The sequence below is a fragment of the Homo sapiens genome, chromosome 10 (genome assembly GCF_000001405.40).
Source record: "Homo sapiens chromosome 10, GRCh38.p14 Primary Assembly".
Lineage (NCBI taxonomy): Eukaryota > Metazoa > Chordata > Mammalia > Primates > Hominidae > Homo > Homo sapiens.
The window spans coordinates 104,296,183-104,321,152 of NC_000010.11; the positions used below are offsets into that span (position 1 = coordinate 104,296,183).

The following is a 24,970-nucleotide window of genomic DNA, read 5'->3' on the forward strand; positions in this document are numbered from 1 at the left end:
CAGTCCATCTGATTTACAGTCCCTCCGGGTTGATTTGTCTCATTTGGGAATGAGAAATTTTATTTTAATGCATTAAGTAATAGTGTTGAGTGGCCAACAAATGTGAAGTTTGAAAAGCTCAAATGAAAAAAAAAGTGTGATAGAAACACAGAGTTGGGGGCCGGGTGCAGTGGCTCACACCTGTATTTCCGGCACTGTGGGAGGCCAAGACAGGAGGATCCCTTGAGCTCAGGAGTTTGAGACCCCTGGGCAACATGGCAAGACCCCAAGACCCCATCTCTACAAAAAAAATGTAAAAATCAGCCAGGGGTAATCCCAGCTACTTGGGAGGCTGAGGTGGAAGGATTGCTTGAGCCCGGGAGGTTGAGGCTGCAGTGAGCTGTGATCGATCTACTGGACTCCAGCCTGAGTGACAGAGCAAGACCCTATCTAAAAAAAAAAAAAAAAAAAAAAAAAGAAGAAGAAGAACACAGGTTGGAATTTGAGGGGGCCTGTTAAATAGGATGCTCTTTCCTGCCTTAGTTTTGAATTAATTGAGAAGATAAAATAATAAGGCATGGAGATTAGAGCATCCCCTTTCTTTTTTTCTTTTTCTTTTCTTTTTTCTTTTTTTCTTTTTTACTTTTTGCTCTTCTTGGCCAGGCTGGAGTGCAATGGCACAATCTTGGCTCACCACAACCTCCGCCTCGCGGGTTCAAGCAATTCTCTTGCCTCAGCTTCCCCAGTAGCTGGGGTTACAGCCACGTGCCATGATGCCCAGCTAATTTTGTATTTTCAGTAGAGACGGGGTTTCTCCATGTTGGTCAGGCTGGTCTCGAACTCCCCACCTCAGGTAATCCACCCGCCTCGGCCTCCCAAAGTGCTGGGAATACAGGCATGAGCCACCAGGCCCGGCAGCATCCCCTTTCTTATTGATAAAGCAGATCTTGGAGAATGGGAGATCCTGAGCGGGGTTCCTAATGCTAGCCTTCAACATCAGGCTGAGGCTCACCTTGTCTTCAAGTAATGGGCAGTGCTGGCCTGAAGGGGAGCCTCCTCTGTCCAGGGCTCAGCTTATCCTTGGAAGGCTTAGCACATTGAGGAGCTGCTCCAGGCTAAGAGGGAGGGACTGGGGTACTCTGTAGAGGTTGTTCTTCCAGTTTCTTCAATCAGATGAGCCACACTGTCACTCTAGTGTTGAAAGGAGGGAAGGGACAGAGGTGGCCAGGAGTGTGACCCTAAAAGAGGCAGAGGAGACCTCAGAGAAAGAGAAGAAGCATTCTCCTAACCAGAGGGAGAAGGAGAGAGGCCTCAGTTCTCCCTCTCTGGGAATTAATTTGAGATTTACATTTAGTGTCTATAAACATGTCAGCAGATATATAAACTTATTTGCTTTTGCTTTGTTTCCATTTTTAGATTCTTGAGTATCAGAACACCACCTTCTTTGGTGGAACCTGTATATCCATGATTGATTACCTCCTCTGGCCCTGGTTTGAGCGGCTGGATGTGTATGGGATACTGGAGTAAGACATTTGACATTGTGGTGTTAAATTCCCGGAGTCACACTGAGTAACAATGGTTAAGATGGTCTGCATGCCCCCTGTAGACATGTTTCAGGATGTCTGTGAAGTGAATCAGGTTTCTAAACCGCAGTGTGTGCTTCCTTGTTAAAAACATATGTGCTTTTCCACTGCTAACTTCAGACCCACACTTTGCCCGCATTTCTGCAGATCAGACCCCTAGCCCAGGAGCCTCCCGCAGACTTCAGAGCCTGCTGTCCTCACCAGCGCCCCCACATGGCCGGTCTGAGAGCAAGTGGAGAGTCACAGTCACAGTCACAGTGCCCAACGCCTCCACCTGGTCCTGACGGGTCCCCAGGGGACACCATATAACCTTAGTCATGTCTCATTGCCCGGAGGAATCTTCCCCCAGATAGGAATAACCTTATAAAAAAGATTTGTGTAGTAATATATGCTTGATATTGGAACATACAAACAAAATGGCAGTGACACACTATGGAAGTATGGAAGTGCAGGGACATTAAAGGAGAAGAAATAGCTGTGTAGGCTCCTGGGCAGAGCAGTGCTGTGTTACTTCAAAGCTCAGTGAAGCTGGACGTGTGCGGACGTCCACCCTAATCCAAGCCACCCTCATGGTGGGTGCTGGACATTTCTGGCACTTGGAAATCCGGCCCTGCTGAAGCAGAACTGTGTCTGCACCTTCATAACCCGTGGGCTGGAGCCCAACCAGCCACTGTCTCCTGCACTTCCGACTTCAGCTCTCTTTGTCAGGATATTTAAAACTCAATATCAAACATAAAATTTACAAAAGGCTGTATCCTCTGAAGACAGAGCATGGAGTCACAGGTTAGGAAACCTCACTTCTAGTCCTGGATTCCCGACAACCCATTCATATTATCTTCAGCTTATTGCTTTATAAACCCCAGAACTAAATATCCTGGTTGAGCTTTGAAAGAGCCCTGTCGGCTCCATGACTTCAAGGTTTCATCCTTGTTTTATTCATTTAAAAAATGTTTTAGAAATTATTTGTCTTTATTTTTTTATATCTCCTAAAGTAAAATCTGAGAATGACCCAAGAATATTTGTTTCAGAGGGTTGTCTTTTTGTTGGCAAGCAGTGAAGCACATGTAAGTTTCTCAAGCTTTAGAATATATATATATTAAAAAACAAAACAAAAAAAATGAAGCACAGACATGTTATTTTCCCAGAGCCATCAGTCCAAAGTATTTCACTGTATTATTAGAAGCAACAACTTCTAAACATTCAACTATTCCAAAAATAAGATTTTCCTCCAGTAAGTTATCATTCTCACTTGATAATAAGATAACTAAGATAACTTCCCAAATAAACTCATTCTTCATATCTTGCAAATCTAAAAAGCAACGTGCATCCCCTTTCCTGATGCCTACCCCTGCACTGTGCTGACGCTTCTTTCCTGTCTTGCAGCTGTGTGAGCCACACGCCAGCCCTGCGGCTCTGGATATCAGCCATGAAGTGGGACCCCACAGTCTGTGCTCTTCTCATGGATAAGAGCATTTTCCAGGGCTTCTTGAATCTCTATTTTCAGAACAACCCTAATGCCTTTGACTTTGGGCTGTGCTGAGTCTCACTGTCCACCCCTTCGCTGTCCAGAATTCCCCAGCTTGTTGGGAGTCTACGTCACGGCTTGTCTTGGGAACCAATCCGTCTCTCTTTCTTTTCTTTGAAGTTCCCAATAAAATGAAAACAGGAAATGTATTCTTCTGATAATCATTTGTCTGACTCCTCTAGCCTGTAGCTGCTGCTACTGCTGCTTTTTTTTCCTTTTTTTTTTTGAGGCAAGATCTTGCTTCGTTACTCAGGCTGGAGTGCAGTGGGACAGTCGGCTCACTGCAGCCTTGAACTCCTGGGCTCAGTTGATTCTCCCGCCTCAGCCTCCTGAGAAGCTAGGACTACAGGTATGTGTCACCACGCCCAGCTAATTTTTAAAAAAATGTTGTTGAGACAGGGTCTCACTATGTTGCTCAGGCTGGTCTCCATCTCCTGGCCGCAAGCCATCCACCCAACTTGGTCTCCAAAGTGTTGAGATTACAGGCATGAGCCACCTGGCCTGCCTAGCCTGTAGCTTCTAACTATTTTCTAGAAAGTGCCTGGTGCTAATGTCAGAGCACATTTTGGGAGCCTGTGTGCCTCCTAACTCCTTGGCCTTCAGCCTAGTTTGATCTCCAGATTATTGGTGCAGATGCTGATGCTGAGGTTCAGGGTCAACCTATGACTGATGCTTGTCACTACAGAATGGCACCCTCCAAAGACCTCCCTGGTGAAAGCTTAAGAAGAGGGAGAAGGAAGAAGAAAACACTCCAAACCTAAATACCTTCCATTTGGCAAATGAATGTCGCTGTCCACGTGGGCGAGTATGAGTGTAATTCTCCAAACTTTGGCCATGGGCCTGGAGACACCGAGGGTCTTGTGACTGGAAAGAATTCCAAAGCAGGAAATGAAACACCGGTTTATCACCCAGGACTAACTACGTCAGAATTTCACTGGTGCTGTCAGGGCTCAGGATGTCTCACAAAATGTTCTATAGCCGGCATCCTGCCTTAAAAAAATACACACGCCCCAAACCCAGCCACAAGCAAAGGTCATTCCGTTGGATTTGCGTCACACTCTCTTCCAATTCATCTCAACAAATGCCTCTGGTTGCCTGTTGTGTACCAAGCCCAGGGGCACACTGGGGATAAAGTTGAAAAAGACATTGGCTCTGTCCCTGGGAGCCCCCATCTCTCCACTTATCTTGGTTGAGGTTTTAAACCTAGCGCTTTGGAGCTGCTTGTCTGTTGTAGGGATGCTTGTCTCTGATGTGGCCCCTCTGCCAGCTTCGCCAGGCAGTACCACCCCACTGAAGACAGCAAAGAGCTGAGGATGGCTGGTGCCAACAGGTCCCTTGGGCTGGGAGCATCTACTGCCTGCACTATGGGAGGGGGACCAAGTTTGTCCAATGCTGTTTCATCTCAGTGTCTGAGGATCAGCCTGTGATCATTTCAGCTTTGCTCATGCTGGATCCTTTCCCATCCTCCTAGCTGTGCTGAGACACCAGGCAGCAACAGGAGCGATGTTTTGCCTTGTCTGTGCTCCCTAAGGAGCTGTCTGCCACCTCTGCCTCTGAGACAGCCCAAATCAGCCCTCCTCTCTCCCCACGTCTCAGTCTGGCCCTGCCATCTGCTGGCTCTGGGTATATTTTGACCCATGTAAATAGTTACCAGGTGTTACTCTGTGCCAGCTGGACAGAAACAAGCCTGCTTGGTGAGGTGGCCAGAACTTCCAGAAGAGGCAGCGCATGACAGGGGCAGTCTGCCGCACCATCTGCTCCGGATGTGGAGCCCTGTTGCCATGGCACCCTAGTTAATGCTGAGTGAGGTCTGTGAATCACCGTTTTCCTGGGATCTTTGCTCCAAGAAGAGGGGAATCTTCTCCTGTGGCCTCTCATAGGACTTAGGAGATTGATCAGCCTTTTGCCGGTACAAATCCTGCATGCTAGTGAGTGCTTGTCATAAGACCAAAGTTACCACTGATGCAACAGGAAATGGCATGCCTCTGGCTCACCAAAATGAAGGTGTTCTCTTTTGGGGCTCCGCACACTAATTTAGAAAGCTTGAAGAACCAGGAATTATAGAATGGAGAAAAGCACTCATGGGGGAGGTTTGCAGCCTGGTGGCCTATAGCCCAGTTTGGGATTTGAGTGCCTCTTGGCCAGGCATGCTCCCTGCTGTTTACCAGGGTCCTGGTCACCTGCACATCCTTACACTTCCTCCATCTCGCTTCTTTGTCACTTGTCTGACCCACAGAGAAAACTGAGTTATCAATCTTTGAATAAAACTAGAAGGATGTGGCCTGGAGAAAAGAGGGAAGGAGGTAATTAAATAATGCTCCATGAAGAACTTTAAAAATATGCTTCTTAATTAATACATGTGGAAAGAATACATATGGGTTAAAAATACAATAATGTAAAAGAATAGAAAATCTTCCATTATCTTGTGTCCTAGAGATAACCACTTTTAGTAATTGGTGTCTACCTTTTTTTCCCCTTTTCTTTTAAATAATAGAGATGGGGTTTCGCTATGTTGACCAGGCTGGTCTTGAACTCCTGGCTTCAAGTGATCCTCCCATCTCGGCATCCCAAAGTGCTGGGATTATAGGTCTGAGTCATCATGCCTGGTGGGTGTCTATCTTATAAAAAGCACTAAACTTAAAGATTTAAAGGTGAGAGCCTGTATTAGGCCATTCTCATGGTGCTATAAAGAACTGCCCAAGACTGAGTAATTTATAAAGGAAAGAGGTTTAATTGACTCACAATTCCACATGGCTGGGGAAGCCTCAGGAAACTTTCAATCATGGTGGAAGGGGAAGCAAACATGTCCTTCTGCACAAGGTGGCAGAAGAGAGAAGTACAGAGCCAAAGAGGGAAAAACTCCTTATAAAACCATTAGATCTCATGAGAACTCACTCACTGTCATGAGAAAAGCATAGGGAAAACACTCCCACAATCGAATCACCTCCCTTGAGGTCCCTCCCCCAACATGTGGGGATTATAATTCAGATTAAAATTGAAGATGAGATTTTAGGTGGAGCACAGCCAAACCATATCAGAGCCATTCTCTATCTTTTGCAGATTGGAAAAATAAAAAAATTAGTTTAAACCACAGCATTTAAAAGAAATGGTCATAGATGATGTTAACATCAGAATGGAGGTTGTGTGGAGTTCCCCTCCTTGGAGGTTCTGAGCTACAGCCTAGCCTGGACTCAGTCCAGTTACAATCTAACATGGCTAGGGGGAGGAGGGAGCATGATGGGGCAGGGCTTGTGTGGCTGGGACAGCTGGCTATGGTCGTGGTGCTGGTGACTAAATGGTACTTGAAATTTCTTTTAGATCTAAAATTCTGTGATATGGTTTGGATCTGAGACCCCACCAAATTTCGTGTTGAAATGTAATCCCCAATGCTGGTGGGAGGTGATTGGATCATGGGGGTAGATTTCTCATGAATGGTTTAGCACCATTCTCTTGGTGCTGTTCTCATGATAGTGAGTGAGTTCTCATGAGTTCTGGTTGTTTAAAAGTGTGCAGCATCTCCCTGACCCCTCTTGCGCCAGCTCCCACCATGGGAGATGCCTCGCTCCCCCTTTGCTTTTTGCCATGAGAGGAAGCTTCCTGAGGGCTCTCCAGAAGCAGAATCTACTACACTTCTCATACAGCCTGCAGAACCATGAGCCAATTAAACCTCTTTTTAAAAACACTTTTATTTTAAGTTCAGGGGTACATGTGCAGGATGTGCAGGTTCGTTCCATAGGTAAACATGCGTCATGGGGTTTGTTATGCAGATTATTTCATCACCTAGATATTAAGTCTAGTATCCATTAGTTATTTTTCCTGATCCTCTCCCTCCTCCCACCCTGCACCCTCTGATAGGCCTCAGTGTGTATTGTTACCCTCCACATGTCCATGTGTTCTCATGATTTAGCTCCCACTTATAAGTGAGAACATGCAGTTTTTGTAAACCTGTTTTCTTTAGGGAAAGTTTAGAATTTTCTAGAGACTGGTTGTATGGTTGTGACCAAAATGCCAGTAGTGATATGGACAGTGAAGGCCAGGCTGAGGAGGTGATGGAAATGAGGAACTTACTGGGAACTGGAGCAAAGGTCACTTTTGTTATGCTTTAGCAAAGAACTTGGCTGCATTGTGCTCCTGGCCTAGGGACCTGTGGAAGTTTGAACTTGAGAGTGATGATTTTAGGGTATCTGGCAGAAAAAATTTCTAAGCAGCAAAGCATTCAAGATGCGCCCTGGCTGCTTTCAACAACCTATGCTCATATTTGTGAGCAAAGAAATTATGTTAAGTTGGAACTTATATTTACAGGGGAAGCAGAGCGTAAAAGTTTGGAGAATTTGCAGCCAGCTATGTGGTAGAAAAGAAGAGCCCGTTTTCAGGGAAGGAATTCAAGCAGGCTGCAGAAATTTGCATAAGTAAAAAGGAGCCAAGTGCTAATGGCCAAGAAAATGGGGAAAAGGCCTTGAAGGCATTTCAGAGACCTTTGTGGCAGCCCCTCCCATCACAGACTCAGAGGCCTAGGAGGACAGAATGACTCTGAGTATTAAAGTAGATTTAATCTAAATCATAAAGTACAAGCTAGAGCAATCCCTCCAGTGCTGCAGAAACTGCCTGCATGTGGCTCCCACATTGTTTCTTGGAGCTTTGGTGGTGGTAGGGGTGGCAGGGGCAGGTGTTATGTTTCTTGGTTTCTCACCTTCAGGTCTCCTTACCCATGTTTCCTTTGTCAGAGTCATTGGCCTTGATGGAGGGGAGACTGGGTTACTCTGAGTTGAGAAGCAAGCTTGACTGCCCTGTGGTTTATATCAGCCTAGCTTAGTTTGTTTTCTGAAGTCTTCACAAATAACCAAATATCCAGCCCAGTGCAGTTCTCAATGAGTAGTCTCCAGTTCCCATCCCCCACCACACACACACACCAAACACTGTGCCCACCTGGGAGACCCATTTTCATTTATCTTCTTCTTTGAGTGCCTGGAAGGCTGAACATTTGATCTTTTCAAACATTTTTCTCTCATCTGGCCTGTTAGCGCTCTTGAGCCTTTGAAAATGCCATTTCCTCTACATACTATTCTTCCTCAGAGCAGCCCTCTGTTTTTTTTTCCAACCAGTCTTTTCTCTTGCAAAGTTCAGATCAAAATTCTTCTTTATGTAAAGAGAAGTGGCGTGCCATAGGGGTTACAAACAGGGCTTCAAGGTTAGCACTGGGATCAAATTCCGACTTTGCAACTTAACTTTCTTGAGTAAGTTGCTACACCTCTATTAGCCTCAGTTTCTTATCTGTAAAATGGGACGGCTAAGTACCTATTTCATTGGGCTGTTGAATAATGATGGTCTCATCTATGCAAGGGCTTAGTACCAGCTGGGTGAAACTCAGTGAATGGCAGGCAACCCTATTATGACTAGGCTTCTGCCAATGATCAGACTTGAACCCTGTGCTCATCCCCCCATCACTTTGTGGAACTAGATGTCCTACGTTGCACATGGCTTGATTCATGGTTTGGAGTTGTTTTCTGGTTGTTTCCTGTGTGCAGGTTTAATCTCAACCTGTGATCCCTTGAAAGCTGCAATTTTATCCCTCCCCGTCCTCCTCCCTCTCACCCCAAGGCCAAGTTTAATACTGTGCATTCTGAAATCTTGCAATGTTGATGATGTAAAATAAATCTTCTCTCCTGTGTTTCTGAAGAATACTCAGAATCTCGCTACTCTGTTAAAGAAAAAAATCATTCACTGACACTTGTTTAAAGCATGTGAAGGAAGACTTCCTCATAACCATCACGGTAGGTATCGGGGCCGCTGCAATGAGACTTCTGCAGTTGGGGAGGGAGATTGGGCTCAACTCTGAGTACAAGACGAACAAGTGGGTATTTATAGCCCAGAAGTAGAGCAGAGGTCAGTGGATTGAAAATCACTCGGAGGAAACGTCAGGGATAAGGAGGATTCTAGCTAAACTGACCTAACAGGATTCTTGCTGAAGACAGGCCAGGATGATCAGACATCACCAGAGGGCTGGCGGAGGACAAGGAACTTGATCAGATATCAAGGATGATCTGATACTGAGGTGGGGGAGTTCTTTTGCCAAACTAACTTAGCAGGGTTCTTTGCTAAAACAATTTTACAAGGACACGCACAGATGAACCTAGGAGGAGGTTCAGGAGCCTGACTAAAGTTTGGTCAAGCAGAGAATCTTTGTCTCCTCTTGGAGCAGGTTATCTCTTTCCAAGGGTTAAAATGTGAGGGATTTGAAATGCCTGCAGGCCTGCCCAGTTACCAATCAGCTTGGATGCTGAATGGAAAACTAAAGCACACCAGTACCATGCTGCGCATAGACAGGATGGTTACACATGTGCTCCAGGGACAAGAACTGTGCAATACTCTGCCCTGCCATTTCCTCCCAAGGATTCCTGCCATGCCCAGGAATCCCCTTGCAGACAGCAAGGGTCTCTGGCCTACTTTGTCATTAGCAGACAGCCCCCTCCAGAGGGAGCAGTTGAGCAGCAACAGTCAGCTCCCTGCTATAGAAGCCAATACGAAGAGCCATTTCCAGTCCTGTCCTGGGGCTAAGATGGACAAAGCAATGGAGGTAGTAGTTGCTTAGTGATGACGCTGCCCCCCAGGGAACCCTGAGTAGGGGCAGCCTCTGTTCCAGCATCACAGGACTGGGGCAGGGAAGTGGGAGGATGACTGTTAGCAGGAACAGCTGTTGCTAAATCTGGGCGTATTCAGGTTACGCTCACAGGTGAAGAATATCTCTCAACGGGTGTGTGTGTGTGTGTGTGTGTGTGTGTGTGTGTGCGCGCGCGCGCGCGCGTGCGCGTGTGCATGCGCATGTGCAGCACATGCACCCTTTGTGCCTTTCTGCCATAAGAGGAGGGTATCAGGATGGATAATGAGGAGCTGTATAAAGGTAAGGGCGGGAGGTATTTTAAGTATTTCACTTAATGGTTTTTGGCCATTTATTTGCTAAACAGAAAGACCCTCTTTGGGGACTTTTATCTGAGACACTGTCCCAGGTGATCTGATAGCAGCAGGGAGTTGGAGAGATGGGGACACACAGACATCCCAGGTACAGTGGCAGCAAGGGCTGCTTATCCTGGAAGCTAGGGGAAGAGTTAGCTGAGGAAACTGCAGGAAGCCCTAACCAGAAACTTGGGCTTCAGACTTGGGTTTTGGAGGAGGGAATGTAGGGTAGATTCAGAATGATAGTAAATCTTCTGTTTTTTGAGCACTGACTATATGCTAGGTACCTTAGATATACTACTAATACCTCCAAACCTTATGAGGTAAGTACCAATCACTCCCGTTTTATAGATCAGTAAACCGAGATTTAGAGGTGGAGTCGCTTGCCCAGGTGTTACGTAGCTAGTGATGAGCAGAGCTGAGGTTTGCTTGCGGGAGGCTGACTCTGGAGCCTGTGCGCTTAACCTCTGCCCTGCTCGGCCTCCCCACTACTAGCACTACCTCACCTCCTTGCCCTTGCTGCCTTCCTCTTCTGCTTTCCCTCCTGGACTGGGAGCTCTCTCAAGGTAGGAATAGTGTCCCACTTGACTTTGTTTTCCTGGTGCTTGGCACAGTGCCTTGTGTATAGTAGTGATGAATGACTGAGCAAATGGAAGGATGGATGGATGGATGGATGATGTAGAAACCCAGGCCACTTCCAGGAGCTCATCATGAGGCCGCTATTATAGCTGTTTCCCCACTTTGCTGTCTAGAAGAGGTAGCTGCTTCTCTGGAGCCACAGGGATGCCCTGCCTTGTACTCTCTCTGGCTCTGTCGTTGCTATGGCAACTGCAGGTCTAGGCTCTGGCTGTCCTGCAGAGGGACGAGGAGAACAGAGGGGTCAGAAGGGCAGAGGCAAGAGACCCTTTCTGTTCCCCTAAACAGGGGACATGGCCCCAGACCCCTCCTGTGAGGTGCACAAACATTTTCTGAGCACCTGGCCAGTGTCTGGCCCTAAGGGAGGTGTGTGAGGGAACCCCCAGGGAAGACAGACCCCCATGTGGGAGGAGGCACTCCCATGTGGAGGGACAGCTCACACTGCTGGGGGAACCAGGCAGTAGGAGTTGGGCTGTAAGGAGCCCTCCTCAGAGCAAGGGGAAGAATCTCCGCAGTTTTTGTTGTTGAGTTTATTTGTCAGGCCCGAAGCTAAGTGCATCACACACGCTCCTTCATTTAACCTTCTCAATGGCTCTACGAGGTGGGCAGTATTATTCCTGTTTTACAGTTGAAGAAACTGAGGCACACCCAAGGCTCTTAGAAATGGTGAGACTTGCTGAGCTAGGACATGGCATAGCAGAGATTGAACACAGAGCCCACACTCTTAGTCCCTGTGCTGTTTATAGTAAGGCTCTCAGTCTCCTTGGCCTTAGCACCAGCTTTGTCATGAAGGCTGGAACCTCGTGGGCAGGACCTTGCATAGGCCTCCATATTGAGAGGGTATATGGAGAGAGGGCAGGGGACCTGCTCTTGTTTCTCTCTGGATTTAAACGTTCAGGCTGAGCAACCTTGCAGCTTAGTGTGGCATCTTGTGTTGCTCTGGATGTATGGAGCTTGTGCAGCTTCCCTGCCTGGCCAGAGGCCCTCTCCATAGATTTGTTTCCTCTTTGTGGCATTTTGTCCCTATGGAGAGGGCTTCTTAGAAACTGCACTGGGCAAAGCTGTGGATATCCAGAGGGCTGAACACCACTGACCTTCTCCCTGGCCCTGAATCTGGCTCTACATACAGCACCAGCTCTAGTCTCACTTGGCTCTGATTCCTGGGGTGGGAGTACATGGGGTATGTATGGGCTGACTCACTGTCCTTGGCTGGGAGAACTGGCGGCTGACCTACACCTTCCAGACCCTTGGGGGGCTTGATTCAGCACTAGCCATGCCTTTTGGAAGAGATGCAAGGCCATCGTCCCAGGAGACCTTTGGTCTAACATAGCCCGGTCCTTTCTTCAGGAAGAAAGCCTTCTTCGTGGCAGCAAGGCTGTGGGGGCTATGGGCGTCATCTCTGGGCAGTTGGGAAGATAGCCAAGGGCAGCTAATGGGAAGAAACGGGGTGTGGGTCTTTGCTATTTCTACTTTAAATAAAGTTGCTCCAAAAGAAACCTAAAATATCACTGACCTGTGGGTTTGAAAGAAACAGATGGGACGAAACTCTTCCAGACTCCCTAACCCACCGCTGTGCTACAACTCTCACTTCACACTTTTGAGGCCCACCTATTCCCATCAAGAAGAAATGTCTTTGAACATCTCTGAGGTTTATGTGGTTCCCTCTTTCTGAGAGATAATTTGTTGTTGACAGTTTTATTTTCTGGTTTCTTTGTGGGGCTGTGGAGAAACATCAAAGGGTGGAAAATGCCATTTTTACCTGTAAAGGAGGGCCCCACATTGTGCAGGAGGAAATAAACCAGACCCGGGCTCAGATGAATGGAGTGAGTACAAGCATTTGAGAGACAGAACAATTACGTGGATTTGATTTTCTTTGGGGAGGCTCTTCACAGTTTCCCATCTGTAAGGGAGCAAAAGAGGTTACAGCTGAAACTCAAAGCTGATCTGTTTTCACATTCCGCTCATGCGGGCTTCAGAGCCACACAATTTCACTTTCAATTACTTACCACACTTCATTGATCTCTGACTTACTTTGCAGCCATTGGTAGTCTTCCTATTAGACCCAGTTCCTTGGGGACAGAGCCCCCATCTTATACTTTTGTTCCCCACATAGAGCCGGACCTAGGCAGATCACATGCTCTTGCTCAGTACTTGGTCAAACACCTTTTCCTCACTGTTGATTCAAAATTTATTCAACGATGATTGACTAAATCCCAGGCAATGGTTATTTTTATAATAAGATGCTGGTGGTGAATCCACATACAGCAAGTACAGAATATGGAGATTACTGGGAGAGGAAGGATCATTTCAAAACAGGATTTGTGCACAGAGACGTTCACTAGAGTGTTGTTTATAACAGCAAAAAGTGGAGACAACTTAAGTGTTCCTCAGTAGGGAAAGTTGGGTAAATTATGGTACATGCATACAGACAGTGAGATAGTAAGCAGCCATATATATATATATATATATATATATTTTTTTTTTTTTTTTTTGAGACAGGGTCTTACTCACTCTGTCACCCAGGCTGGAGTGCAGTGGAGTGATCACGGCTCGCTGCAGCCTCTGCCTCCCAGGCACAAGCAATCCTCCCACCCCAGCCTCCGGAGTAGCTGGGATTAGAGGTACACGCCACCATGTCTGGCTAATTTATATATTTTTTGTAGAGACAAGGTTTGCCATGTTGCCCAGGCTGGTCTCAAACTCCTGGGCTCAAGCGATTTTCCTGCCTTGGCCTCCCAAAGTGCTGGGATTATAGGTGTGAGCTAATGTACTCGGCCAGTAAGCAGCTAGTTTAAAGAATAAGGTAGAGCCAAATGTTCAAAAAGATAACCAAGAAGAATTAGTCGGTATGATGCCATTTATGTAAAAAAGGACTAAAAGGATGCATATATATATACATACATGTGACACATACACAGAAAAATTTTGGAAGGATACACCAAAAACTTCATATTGGTTATCTCTGGGGAGTGGACTAAGAAGTCAGAAGTGGGACCGTTAGTCTGTTACTTAATTTTCCTGTTAGTACTTGAATTTTAAAATTATGACTGTATTATTGCTTTTATGTTTATTTTTTAAACAACAAACTAGTTAAACAAGCAAGCTATTTTTGGATGGCAATGAGAAAAGTTAACTCTAAAAGATGCCCTTCCCAGGGACAGGGGTGGGGCAAGGCAGAGTGGGGCGGAGAGGGAGGGCCCTGTTGAAGGCACACATTGCCCTTCACTCTGTGACTCTTGGCTCCCTCTGCTTTCGGTCGCTGGCCAAACCAAACAGCCTTCCAGCTCTGTCCCGTGAGGTGGAGATGAGACGGACCACGAAAATGTTCTGAATCACAGCCTTGGGGTGGCTTGAGTTAAGACTTCCTGGACATTCACCAACCACTGCCAGCTGCCACCAACCCTGCTCGGGAAGCCGGCCATGTACCCTACAGCACAGGACATGGATGGCACTGATCACATAGATAAGGACTCCTTAGTTTGGGGGTGAATCAAGTTACTGTCTCACTCAAAACCCGCCAATGGCCCACCTCTGCTTGTTGTGAGGTCCAAATTTACCTTGTATTAGCATTCAAGGCTTTGCATGGTTCAGCCCCACTCTTATCTTTTCAACCTCATTTGCTACGACTTCTCAGTATATGCCAACATGTACACCAGGACTGCCTGGGTTGGAATCTGGGCTGTGCTACTTACCACTGTGACAGTAGGTAAGTCAGTTGCCCCTTCAGTGCCTGTTTCCTTATCTGGAAAGCAGGGAGGATAAGAATAGCACCTACATCATAGGACTGACATGGAACTGTGTGCATTAACAAATGTGTGTGCGGAACGGTGCCTGCCATACAGTAGGTGCTTCCCACCCTCACTCCATGCTTCTGGCTGGAATGTCTTTCCTGGCCACAGTCCTGGTCATTTTTCAGAGTCTCTATCTGGCAGCGCCCCACCATGAGGCCTTCCCTAATCAGCCCAGGTACCAGTGGTTCTTGGACATCCAGAATCAGGTGGGGAACTTGGTGAAGTGCAGATTCTTCTACCTAACTTCTCAGGATCCCACTGGAGTCTGTGACACGGCCCAGGAAGCTGCCCCCAGGTGACACCCGTATGTGTAGTGCAGGGTCACACTTGGAATAGCTCAGTACTTGGAAGGCCACCTTCTGCTGCCTCTCCTAGGGAACAGGCTTGGTCCTATTCATTTTCCCATCTTCCACAATGTCTCATGCACGTTAGGCTCCTGACAAATGCTTGTGGACTATTCATGACCTGCTTGGGAGAAGGGCTCACCATCTTATGCCTTCCCACCCTCTCTCTGAGGCTTACGGCACTAGCGTGAATGTGGGTGCCCTCATGAGAAGCTTGTGGTGTAGCTGATGCCACTTAGACCACAGATTCCAAGCAGGCTCATTGGCTTTTCCCAGGTCTATCTATCTTCCAATAGATCTGTAGGGAAAGTAGTCCACTTGGGTTTTCTTTAACTTTCCATTAAGAAAGAAAGTGAGAGGGCTTCCTCAGCTAGGGGTACCATCAGTCACTTGGGGGAAATCTTTAAAAATCGAGCCTAGCCTGACCACTCCAGACTGGATTCTGAGCACCATGTAGGTTCAAGGCGGGGTCGGGGCAATGGACCAGGTTGTCTGGGTGATTCGGATGACACCCTTGATGATGAACCAGAGCTCCACCCCCAGGTTCTCAACGGGGGCTGTGCTTCAGCCAGGCATGCAGAGGGGCTAGAGCTTTTGAGGATATAAGGCCCTTCCCCAACATAACCAGCCTCTTGGCCTAGGGGCCAACTCTATTCATTTCACCCTTGTTATTTTGCAAAGCAAGTGAGCAGTTGCTGGGGAAAGTCAAGCATCCTTGGGAAAGAGACTCTGGGGAAAGAGGGCAGGGTTGTCCTTAGTGGAAAGGCCAAAGTCCCCTAGAGGACTCAAAATCCTCTATTTAAAATACAATCTCTTTCTTTAAAACCCAAAAGCTTCCTGTTAGTTCCAGCTCCTATATTTCTCGCTGACATTAGCTCTGTGAAATAAGGTCTTAGGCTGGAATCCACCCTACAGCCAGCTTTCAAAGGCCCTTTCTGGAGCCCTGCGGGCAGCACACAAGTTGCCTCAAAGACAGGGTAGAAATGTTCTGTTTTGTTATTTTTTAAAGTCTCCTGAAAGTGTAAGAATAAAAAGGGAGTGAAAGCTTCTGCTTTGTCAATAGGAAATCCACCCCCCTGTCCCCAACTCTGCCCTGGGAGCCTCACAGATTTCCTGAAGTTAAAAACAAACAGTGACCATTTCTACTCCTTGCAAGATTTAATTCTTCCTTTAATATAAATAAGGCAGCATGAAACACCAAGAGCCCCACTGCTTTCTGCTTTAGAAGCAGCTTTGGTGCAGAAAAGATTCCCGTTTCCCCACCGAGTTCTGTTGTCTCTGTACACACAAGAAGCCAGAAGATATTTTTTTTTCAGTGAACTTTCTCCTGGAAGCAAAGGAGAAGCTATGGGAGATCCAGGCATGGTTTTGGCTTCTGGAGGCTGTTTTTTGGTTACTGGGGTCTCTTCAAAGCAAAACGGGATCAGGATGAAGAGGGGGAAAGGCATGGGCCATAAATAAATAAGGAAATTTGCCCCGATTCTACAAATGCATCTGATGGAATGAGGAGGGTCAGGCTGTGAGGGATTGGGGGTAGCTCCAGGCTGCTGTTAGGGACACACTTGAGCTGGTTCATTCCCTGGAGTGCCCCGCAACTGCGTCTAGGGAGAGGCAGGCCCAAGCACATGTTCAGTCTAATTCCAGCTCACACTGGAAGGCTTCCTATAGGTTTGGTTGCCCTGATCACAGCCGAGCTGCCCCACCAGGAATTAACCCTGGTGGGCAAAGGGTCCATCTTCTCAAGCTTTCTGAGGCTGGTTGAGAGCACTCCTGGGGATGGGGGAAGGATCTCCTTCCTTCAGTTTGTGGGGTAACTGGGCACCCCTGTCAAGTTGGTTATGCTCTCGGGAAGGCATGGCCGGCTTAAACCCTGGAGGAACACGGTATATTCTTGACTCCCTGGCCCCCTGCAAGGGTAACTGAAGTAACGGTGAGATAGGAAATCTCAAAGGGCCAGTGAAGCCACAGGTGGAAAAGAGCCTTCCTGATCCCCCTGAACCAGACCTGGAGACGGAGCCCAGCTCCAACCACAGAGCTTCTGCCAGGCTCTTTGGGTCTGGGTCATCTGTGTGGTCAGCAGTGCCCACACAGAAGGGGTGGGTTCTGTGCAGTGAGGGAGCCCCGCTGGAGTGAGGAACTAGGGGCTCAGAGCCTGCAGACTGGAGCTAGGTTTCCATAGTTCTTGCTTCCATGCACACCCTGCCCTAGGATTGGGACCCTGAGGACAACCTGGGGCTATGACATCCTTGGCCCCTGATCTCTGCAACTTTCTCTGAACTGGGCCAGACTGCAAGCCAGACACCACCACCCCGGGTAGCATTTTTGAGCACCTCATCGAAGGAGTCTACTGTCTTACAGCAGAGACTTCGCTGCAGGACGCAGGGCCAGAAGAGGTTGAGAGGCTTGGCTCTGCGCACAGCCTCTGGGAGTGCCATGGCCTCAGGTGCCTTGTGGTTGCCAATGAAGAAGTGATAGAGTTTCTTTTCCAGCTGTCCTTTGCCACAGTCACCCCGTGTGTCTCTTTCTCCAGGTCAGCTTCCACCTTTAGCATCTGTCCTCCCCCTACCACAATGATAGTCAGAAAGACCAGCTTTGGAGAGAATAAAGAGAGGTGGGGGGCTGCTGAGCTGGCACCCAGTGTGGCAAATACCCACCACGCTCGGGACCCAGTACGTTGGGGAAAGGACAGCAGAAGGGGGTGCACCTGAGTGAGAAGTGTAGGGTGCAGCTGAGTGAGAAGTGTAGCTGAAAAAGTGGCTAATTGTGTTTCTCTATGCCACCAAGTACCCATTTCCGTGTGACAGAGACGTTAGTCATTTGGGCCTCGAATTTATACAAGGTCTTTTCTCCAAATAGTATAAAAAAGTGGCAGCCATGGTGGGACCACTATTGTGCAGGATGCGGATCAAAGGTGGACATTCCCATATCTGTCCCTGTTAGTGCTTTGGCTGCAGATGGTCAGGCCAGAAGCTCCTGGGAATAGGGGTGCTGGGTCTTAACACGGTTCCCTGTCAGCATTCTTGTAGATCCTCTGCTCATATTCAAGTACAGACTGGATCTGGGATTCAAAAAGAATTACACCCAATCCAACATTTGCATTGTCTCTAACTCAGGGTCCACAGCGTGTTCTGCCACCATCTTGGCCATTCATGGTGATCCAGAAGTAAACTGCAAGGGATCAGTCCCTAAACCCAAATAACAGCTTTACCAGCAGATCCCAATGGTATGAAGCAAACCAGCTTCCCGTTGAAATTCTGTTTCCTCTGCACTGTAGGGCTTGGCTTCCTGGCAGGCTGAGCACGGCTCCCACGAAAGCCCGCCTTGTCCCCAGAACAGGGCTGGCAGATGCCACCAGGGGTGTGAACGTGAGGGATGCCCTCATCTTAGCTCGAGGATCCCACATTCTGTAAAAGACGTCAGCTTTTTGGGGTAGGCTGGTCTGAGGGGACATGTAGGGAATACTCGCTAATGAGCGCTGGGGCATTCTTGAGCATCTCATAGAAGGAGTCCAGTGTCTTACGGTAAAGGCTTCGCTGCAGGACGAAGGGCCGGAAGAGGTTGAGGGGCTCGGCCCTGAGCACGGCCTCAGGGAGTCCCATGGCCTCAGGCACCTTGCGGTTGCCGATGAAGAAGTGGTGGAGCTTCTTCTGGAGCAAGCTCTTCTCCAGGAAGCACAGCAACTCGTGCAGACGAGCGTCCAGCTGCCCCGCCTTCCAGTCGGCGGCCTGCCGGAGGAGTAGGAGGTGCAGTAGGGCCGTCTTCAGGTGGTAGCTGCTGAGCCCGCTGGGACCGGTCAGGCGGCTCTGCTTGGAGAGCAGGAAGGATGCTATCTGCAGGCAGCTGAGGTGGCAGGCGCCCTCGGGCAGTGCCTTTAGTGTCGTCCTGAGGAAGTGTCGCTCATAGACAGCAAAGGACAGGAGCCAGTCTGTGCTGGAGGCTGGGGTGCCCTCAGAGGGCTCCCTGGGAAGGTGGGAGACAAAGTACAGGTCCGAGTCATCACACTGGATCACAGGAATCAGGTTGAAGGGCATGAACTTCCCTGAACGGAACTTGATCTTCAGGGACCCCGGGCTGTCCAGCTGGCCAAAGGCCAGGTCGAACTCGTACTTGTGGGCGATGCCCTTCCAGGCTCTGGTGAGGGCCGTCTGGAACCACTTCATGACCTGCATCGTGTCCAGGTACAGGGAATCTGTGGCACACAGCAGGTTCTCCATGTCGCCGCAGGGAGGCGCCATGCTGTTCCTGCCGTGCAGGAGACACAGCATGTCTTCCCCGAGCTTGGTCTTGCCGCAGATGCAGCTCAATGTGTCCCCATCGGCGCGGACCACCTTGATCTGGCCGTAGCCCTGGCGATCCAGGGGCACTGAGCGGCCGGAGCACCAGAGCTCTGGGTGGAAGCGGTAGGGCTCGGGGGGTGTGAAGGGCACGAAAAGGTGGCACAGCAGTGGCCTGTCCACCTGCCAGTTCTCGTACATGCTGTCCACGCCAATGAAGTCCTCCACCTCCATGTCGGTGTCCCGGTTGCAGAGGCTCCTCAGGGCTTCCAGCAAGTCATCCACGAAGCCTTCCAGGAACTCCCGGGTACGGGCTGCATCGGCCGTGGCCCCCCGGATGCAGCGCTCATAAAAGTGGCCAAGCGTGGCCTTGTTGGGCAGGGTGAGGCCCTGCAAGGGGGCGCCCCCCAGCCCAGGCAGCTCATCCTCCTCACCGCCCAGGCACTCAGGTGAGGGCCCCTCCTGGTGGTCCTGCCGCCACACCTCGATCATCAGGAAGAGGATCATGCAGAGGGTGCTCCAGAGGTCCCAGGCCACGCGTGTCTCGTTCTGCTGCCTGCCCTCCTCCGCCACCTGCTCCAGTGCCTCCTTTTCGGCCGCCAGCCGAGCCACCTCCTCCTCCAGGCGCAACTGCTCCAGCTGCAGCTTCTCCTGGTGCGCCTGCATCTTGCGGATGATCTCCTCCTCGTTCTCGGGGACTGTGGCGTTCTCCCGCGGGAACAGCAGCGGGTGGTTGATGATGGCCGTCACCACCACCAGACACACGCGGAAGAGCCCCATGGCCATGGTTGGAGCTTTCCTGGGAACAGAGAGACAGATGGTCACACCAAGCTTCCCTCAATGCCACTTCGTCCCTGGGCCCCGCACCAACCTCAGCCCCTCAGGGCTGGTTAAGGTCTTAGTTCTCCCACCCAACCCATCGAGAGCTCCCTGCGGCTGCCTCAGGAGCTTCAGTCCAGCCATGGAAGAGCCCCAAAGGCCTACCCTGGGGTGGACATCTGTTTTAGTCCTACCCAGACATTCCTGGATGGCAGCAGCACCCCACTGTCCCTAACCCTTTTCTCCTACCAGTCCTTATGGCCAGGGCGAGGATATACCCACCTCCAAGCTCCTGGGGTGGGCTCAAAACCCAGGCCCAAGACAATCAGACATTCTGCCGCCCAGCTACAGCTAGAGCGATTGGTTCTGGGATGAGCATTTGATCCAATTCGGGCCAATGAGAGACAGATGTAGGGTGTGTTGGGCCCAATAGGAAGAAAGACTCATCCTGTTGCTAGTTTGGTTGCTAGGTTGCTGAGGGAACAGGATTATACCTGCAGTGGGCTCTCGGGAAGGGAGCCCGCCTGAGAAAGACACCAACATAGAGGAAAGCAGAACCCCCCCTCCCCACACTCAGCTCTGCTTGAAGGCATTGCTGTCTGAGCTCTTTAGTCACACAAGTCAATAAAGAAACCCTTTTTAAGTCAGTTTGAGTGGCCTTTCCACCACTTGAAATCAAAATAGTCCTGAATAACATATCCCCTTCTCTCCCAAGTGAATGTCATCTTCCTGCAATACAGTGAAGCCTAGTGGTTAAGGGAGAAAGGGCTAGGTTCCAAACCAGCACTGTCAACTGAAAAGCTGTGTGACCCTGGGCATGTTAACACACCTCTCTGAGCCCTGGTTTCCTTACTGCACAAGGGGAAAGCAATAGTATCTCACAGGGTCATGGTATTGAGAGACGCAATGATCCCTGCAAACTGCATGGCCCAGTGACCAGTGCAAAGCACATATTCACTGAACAATAACTGTTTCGGAAGTAGATTTGAGCCCTTATCCTCCTCTTCTGTAAACGTCTCTTTCTGACCTGGAAGACCTTACCCCATATTCAGACACACTCTCCTGGCTTTTGTCTTTCCCCAGGACAATCTTGATGATGACCAGAGAGCAAAGAATCACTAATTTCTTCTTACCAGGCATGTGAACTTTAAATCTAACTTCTTAATTGTGAAAGGAGGCACTCTGTTCCCCTAGGATAAGTGGATTTTTAAGCCTCAAGTGACTTTTGGAGAAAGGCTAATCCCTACAATCTTTGCAATTCGAAGTATGATTCACGGACCAGCAGCTGCAGTATCTCCTGGGAGCTTGTTAGAAATGCAGAATCTCGGCCCCACCCACACTTACTGAATCGGAATCCACATTTTAATACCATCCATATAAAAATCTGAGAGGCACTGTCTTACGCTGCAAGACTTAGTTACACCCTCTCCTCTCCTCAGCAGGAATCCTGGGACTTAACAATCTGCTATTTCCACACTTGAACTACCCCCCTCCTTGCTTGGGACCTCGATGAAGGAAGCAAATGGCCAAATGCAAATCAGTTGAGGTCCTGAGATTGTTGAGAGCACAGGGCTCCTTCTACCACCCCCTAGTGCACACTAACACTGGCTGATAGGAGCTACTGTGCCAACCTGAGCCCCATTCCCTTTGGCTTGAGCCCGACCTGGAATTTGCACAATGAAATTCTTGTCCTAATGGTGCCAAGGAACAGGGATTTGTCCCCAGGTAAAGATACCTCTGCAGGTTGTCCCTGGCAAGTGGCAGGATGGAGATGGACTGAGTTGGCTGCTGGTCACGCCTAGACAAACTTGCTGCTCAGATGTGACTCAGACAGTTCCACCCCATACACAGCTGGACAGGTCTGCAGGAACCACAAGGGTTGGGGAGTGGAGAAGGTCCGTCCTCCACCCTGAGGATTCTCAGTGTGGGCCTCAGAGGTGAGCACTGAAGCACTTACAGGTTTCCACTGGAGGAGGAAAGCGGGGACAGGATGAAGTGGAAGAAGTCACACTGCAAGGTGGGTGGGGTAAGGAAAAAGTGCAGGGGGCAGCGAGCCAGCTTTCCTTCCCCAAGCCAAGGAGCAGCTTGCTGGATAATGGCAGAAACAGGTCAGCCTGGTTTCTACATTAGAGAAACATCAACGGAAAGTTTTGCCAGGGAGGGTCCAAGGCATAACTAACTGCGAGGCTGGGTGATTAACATGGGTGAGAAAGTTAACATAAAGGTGGAGAGTACTCATAGCAGAATATCAGGCAGCAGCCAGTTAGGAGATAATTTGGGGGGTTTTAGGGTCCTTCAAGCTGCCTGGATCACAGGCAGCCACCTTTGGACACAGTGGGCCTTGACCAGTCACAGTAATAGCCCGGACAACCACCTACCCAGGTTCCTTGTCAACTCAGTGCAGGATGCCACGAACAGGTGAGTGGGGCCACGGCCAAGCCCTATGGCTGGGAACCATCCCTGTGTCTACGCCACACTTCATGGTGCTACTTGCTACATCCTCATTCCTGCCAGAGGAGGAGGAGCTGTAAGAGCCTCCTTGTACTGGCACAGGCAAGGTTCAGAACTCCAAACCAACTGAAGGGACCAACTCTGTGTGCAAGAGGAAAAGAGGATAGACTCGAGAGGAGACAAGACTGGGTCAGAACCCAGTATGTGCACCTACTGGAGGTGACTTCGGAGAAATCACTTCCCAGAACCTCAGTTTCTTCATCTGTAAAATGAGAATAATCATATCTACTGTTATAAAGCTTGAACAAGATAATGCATGTAAAGCACTCAGCAACATGCTTGCTCCTGAGCAAGTTTTCTTATGAAAGGAACTGCGATGGGATGGAAATACGCAGATGACCCTGCCTGCTGGGGTTCAGGGCGGAGTGCGCCGCAGACGCCCCTACAAGGAACTCTGGCAGGATGTAGGCAGTGCATAGTAGCACTGGTAATTGTAGGATTACAGACAAGACTCAACAGAAGCACCAGGGAAACAGGGCACCAGCCTGGGGAAGGACTGCAAGGAAAGGGGGCCTGGGCTGTAGACCCAGCAGACCTGTGTTCTAACCTTGAGTGACTGTGGGTGGATCGCACAGCTTCTGCGCTCCCACGCTTTCCCTGTGAGGAGGAATTAATAACACTTCCTCCTTCACAGGGATGTTGGGACGGGTGAGTGAGATCATACACCTTGGGTGCTTAGCACCGTGCCTGGCACAGGGCAGGCTCCTCTCCTCAGCATCTACAGGCTTCTGCTTTCTCACCTGCTGAGCACAGCAGCCCTGCCTGAGCCCCAGGCATGGGGAGTAAACACACGCTCGAAAGTGCTCTGAAAGCACAAGATGTTCCACTGCTATTTCTCCTCCTTGGCACACCCCTGAGTCCACCCTGGCCCCCAGCAAAGGGGAGAAGGCTTCAGAGCCTGGGATCCTCCTGCAGGTCAGGGGTTCCCTCTGACTCACTTTCTCACGTAATCCATCTCCCCGCTTCCCCGGATCGGATCCCAGCTGTCATTTGGCTCCCTGTTAAACTCTGCACAGGCTGGCTCTGTCTGCAGCACCCTATGGGATAGGACAGGCCGAGGCAGATAATAGGGCTGTGGTCGCTCAGGGCCCACCAGATGGGGTTCAGTTTGAAGCCTCTGGTACTTCCCCTTCCCAAACCCAGTCACAGGAAACACTGCCCTGGGGACCCCAGGGGTCAGAAGAATGTCCTGCAGGCCAAGAGGATTCCAAAATAAACCTTAAAAACCAGTTCATGCCATGATGGGAAGGAGGAGCCGACAAACCCCATTATACCCTCCTCCCTCTGGAATTCAGGCACAACTGAACAGCATTAACGTTAAAACAGAGATCCTAGGAGTGACAAAACAGACTCTGTAGCAATAAGATACCGAATTTCAACCCAATATAGCATCATATGAGATAGCAGGCCCTGAAAGAAATCAAAGTATTTTACCCCAAAATATATTTCTTTGACATATTTTGAAATGGCCCTGCAAAGCTGCCTATTGTCAGGAAAATCTACATTCTGTACAGAATCTCCTTCCCTTTCCAGGTCTCTCCTGATCCAGGAGAGATGAACTAAGAGTCTGATCTACATTCTGTACAGAATTTCCTTCCCTTTCCAGGCCTCTTCCTGATCCAGGAGAGATGAACTAAGGGTCTGGCACCTTTTTAGGTTTGACAGACACTTACCATCTCCTGTCTCTGAAACTCGCTTCCTGGGACTTCAGCTACATAGTAAGAACCATGGTCTCCATACCCCTTATCCTAGACACTCCTTTCTACTGATTCCAGGTCTTTAGATAATAACTTAACTCGTTCAACCAATTGCCAGTCAGAAAATCTTTGAATCCACCTATGACCAGGAAGCCACTCCTTGCCCTCACTTCAAGTTGTCCCATCTTTCCACACCAAACTAACATATTCCTTACACATGCATTGATGGAGGTCTGCCTGTAATTTTTTTTTTTTTTTTTTTTGAGACTAAGTCTCACTCTGTCGCCTGGGCTAGAGTGCAGTGGAGGGATCTCAGCTTACTGCAACCTCTGCCTCCCAGGTTCAAGCAATTCTCCTGCCTCAGCCTCCTGAGTAGCTGGGACTACAGGCATGCCCCACCATGCCCGGCTAATTTTTATATTTCTAGTAGAGACAGGTTTTCACCATGTTGGCCAGGCTGGTCTCGAACTCCTGACCTCAAGTGATCTGCCTGGGATCACAAGTGCTGGGATTACAGGTGTGAGCACCTGGCCTGCCTGTAACTTCTGTCCCCCTAAAATGTGTAACATCAAGCTGTAACCCAACTGTCTGGGGCACATATTTTCAGGATCTCTTGGGACTGTGCCTCAGGCCTTGGTCATTCAGATGGGTTCAGAATAAATCCCTTCAAATATTGTATAGAGTTGACTTGTCCACAAAAGGGAAGGAAACAGGGCATTCTGACATTCTGAGACAGGACGGGTAGTGAGGAGCCTCTCACAAACCATGGATATGTGTATATGTGTGCATGTTCTTGCACATACCAGCACATGCCTCCCCAAAGAGTCCCCTACTCCCAATTCCAAGGATGTCCACCTCTG

At 49.1% G+C, this 24,970-nt stretch overlaps 2 protein-coding genes across 10 annotated transcripts in view, besides 7 other annotated features; one reads left to right on the forward strand and one right to left on the reverse strand.

Annotated features, from left to right (window-relative positions):
• The window catches only part of GSTO2 (glutathione S-transferase omega 2), a 35,767-nt gene extending 26,999 nt beyond the window's left edge, over positions 1–8,768 (forward strand). For 4 of the 6 annotated variants that reach the window (NM_183239.2, NM_001191013.2, NM_001191014.2 and 1 more), the window contains 2 exons: positions 1,396–1,502; positions 2,946–8,768. In NM_183239.2, the coding sequence (NP_899062.1) occupies positions 1,396–1,502; positions 2,946–3,102 (264 nt within the window). In that variant the 3' untranslated portion in view covers positions 3,103–8,768. The remainder of the gene's footprint in view (positions 1–1,395; positions 1,503–2,945) is intronic. The other 2 variants (XM_047424577.1, XM_047424578.1) reach the window with 1 other exon arrangement.
• Positions 3,051–4,250: an enhancer, noted in NCBI's record as "BRD4-independent group 4 enhancer chr10:106058991-106060190 (GRCh37/hg19 assembly coordinates)". NCBI's record gives its function as "activates an origin of replication core promoter dependent on BRD2, P300/CBP, MED14 and CDK7 cofactors, and independent of BRD4, by STARR-seq in HCT116 cells {active_cell/tissue: HCT116}" and the evidence as "EXISTENCE:reporter gene assay evidence [ECO:0000049][PMID:35650434]".
• Positions 3,051–4,568: a biological region, named in NCBI's record as "BRD4-independent group 4 enhancer GRCh37_chr10:106058991-106060190".
• Positions 4,067–4,568: an enhancer, noted in NCBI's record as "H3K27ac hESC enhancer chr10:106060007-106060508 (GRCh37/hg19 assembly coordinates)". NCBI's record gives its function as "activates a minimal SCP1, AML or CMV promoter by ChIP-STARR-seq in naive H9 embryonic stem cells {active_cell/tissue: H9 hESC(naive)}" and the evidence as "EXISTENCE:reporter gene assay evidence [ECO:0000049][PMID:30033119]".
• Positions 4,569–5,068: an enhancer, noted in NCBI's record as "H3K27ac hESC enhancer chr10:106060509-106061008 (GRCh37/hg19 assembly coordinates)". NCBI's record gives its function as "activates a minimal SCP1, AML or CMV promoter by ChIP-STARR-seq in naive H9 embryonic stem cells {active_cell/tissue: H9 hESC(naive)}" and the evidence as "EXISTENCE:reporter gene assay evidence [ECO:0000049][PMID:30033119]".
• The window catches only part of ITPRIP (inositol 1,4,5-trisphosphate receptor interacting protein), a 28,766-nt gene continuing 17,313 nt past the window's right edge, over positions 13,518–24,970 (reverse strand). For all 4 annotated transcript variants that reach the window (NM_001272013.2, NM_033397.4, NM_001272012.2 and 1 more), the window contains one exon: positions 13,518–19,882. In NM_001272013.2, coding sequence (NP_001258942.1) covers positions 18,226–19,869 — 1,644 coding nt within the window. In that variant the 5' untranslated portion in view covers positions 19,870–19,882 and the 3' untranslated portion in view covers positions 13,518–18,225. The remainder of the gene's footprint in view (positions 19,883–24,970) is intronic.
• Positions 19,183–19,712: an enhancer, noted in NCBI's record as "H3K27ac-H3K4me1 hESC enhancer chr10:106075123-106075652 (GRCh37/hg19 assembly coordinates)". NCBI's record gives its function as "activates a minimal SCP1, AML or CMV promoter by ChIP-STARR-seq in naive H9 embryonic stem cells {active_cell/tissue: H9 hESC(naive)}" and the evidence as "EXISTENCE:reporter gene assay evidence [ECO:0000049][PMID:30033119]".
• Positions 19,713–20,241: an enhancer, noted in NCBI's record as "H3K27ac-H3K4me1 hESC enhancer chr10:106075653-106076181 (GRCh37/hg19 assembly coordinates)". NCBI's record gives its function as "activates a minimal SCP1, AML or CMV promoter by ChIP-STARR-seq in primed H9 embryonic stem cells {active_cell/tissue: H9 hESC(primed)}" and the evidence as "EXISTENCE:reporter gene assay evidence [ECO:0000049][PMID:30033119]".
• Positions 22,727–23,228: an enhancer, noted in NCBI's record as "H3K4me1 hESC enhancer chr10:106078667-106079168 (GRCh37/hg19 assembly coordinates)". NCBI's record gives its function as "activates a minimal SCP1, AML or CMV promoter by ChIP-STARR-seq in naive H9 embryonic stem cells {active_cell/tissue: H9 hESC(naive)}" and the evidence as "EXISTENCE:reporter gene assay evidence [ECO:0000049][PMID:30033119]".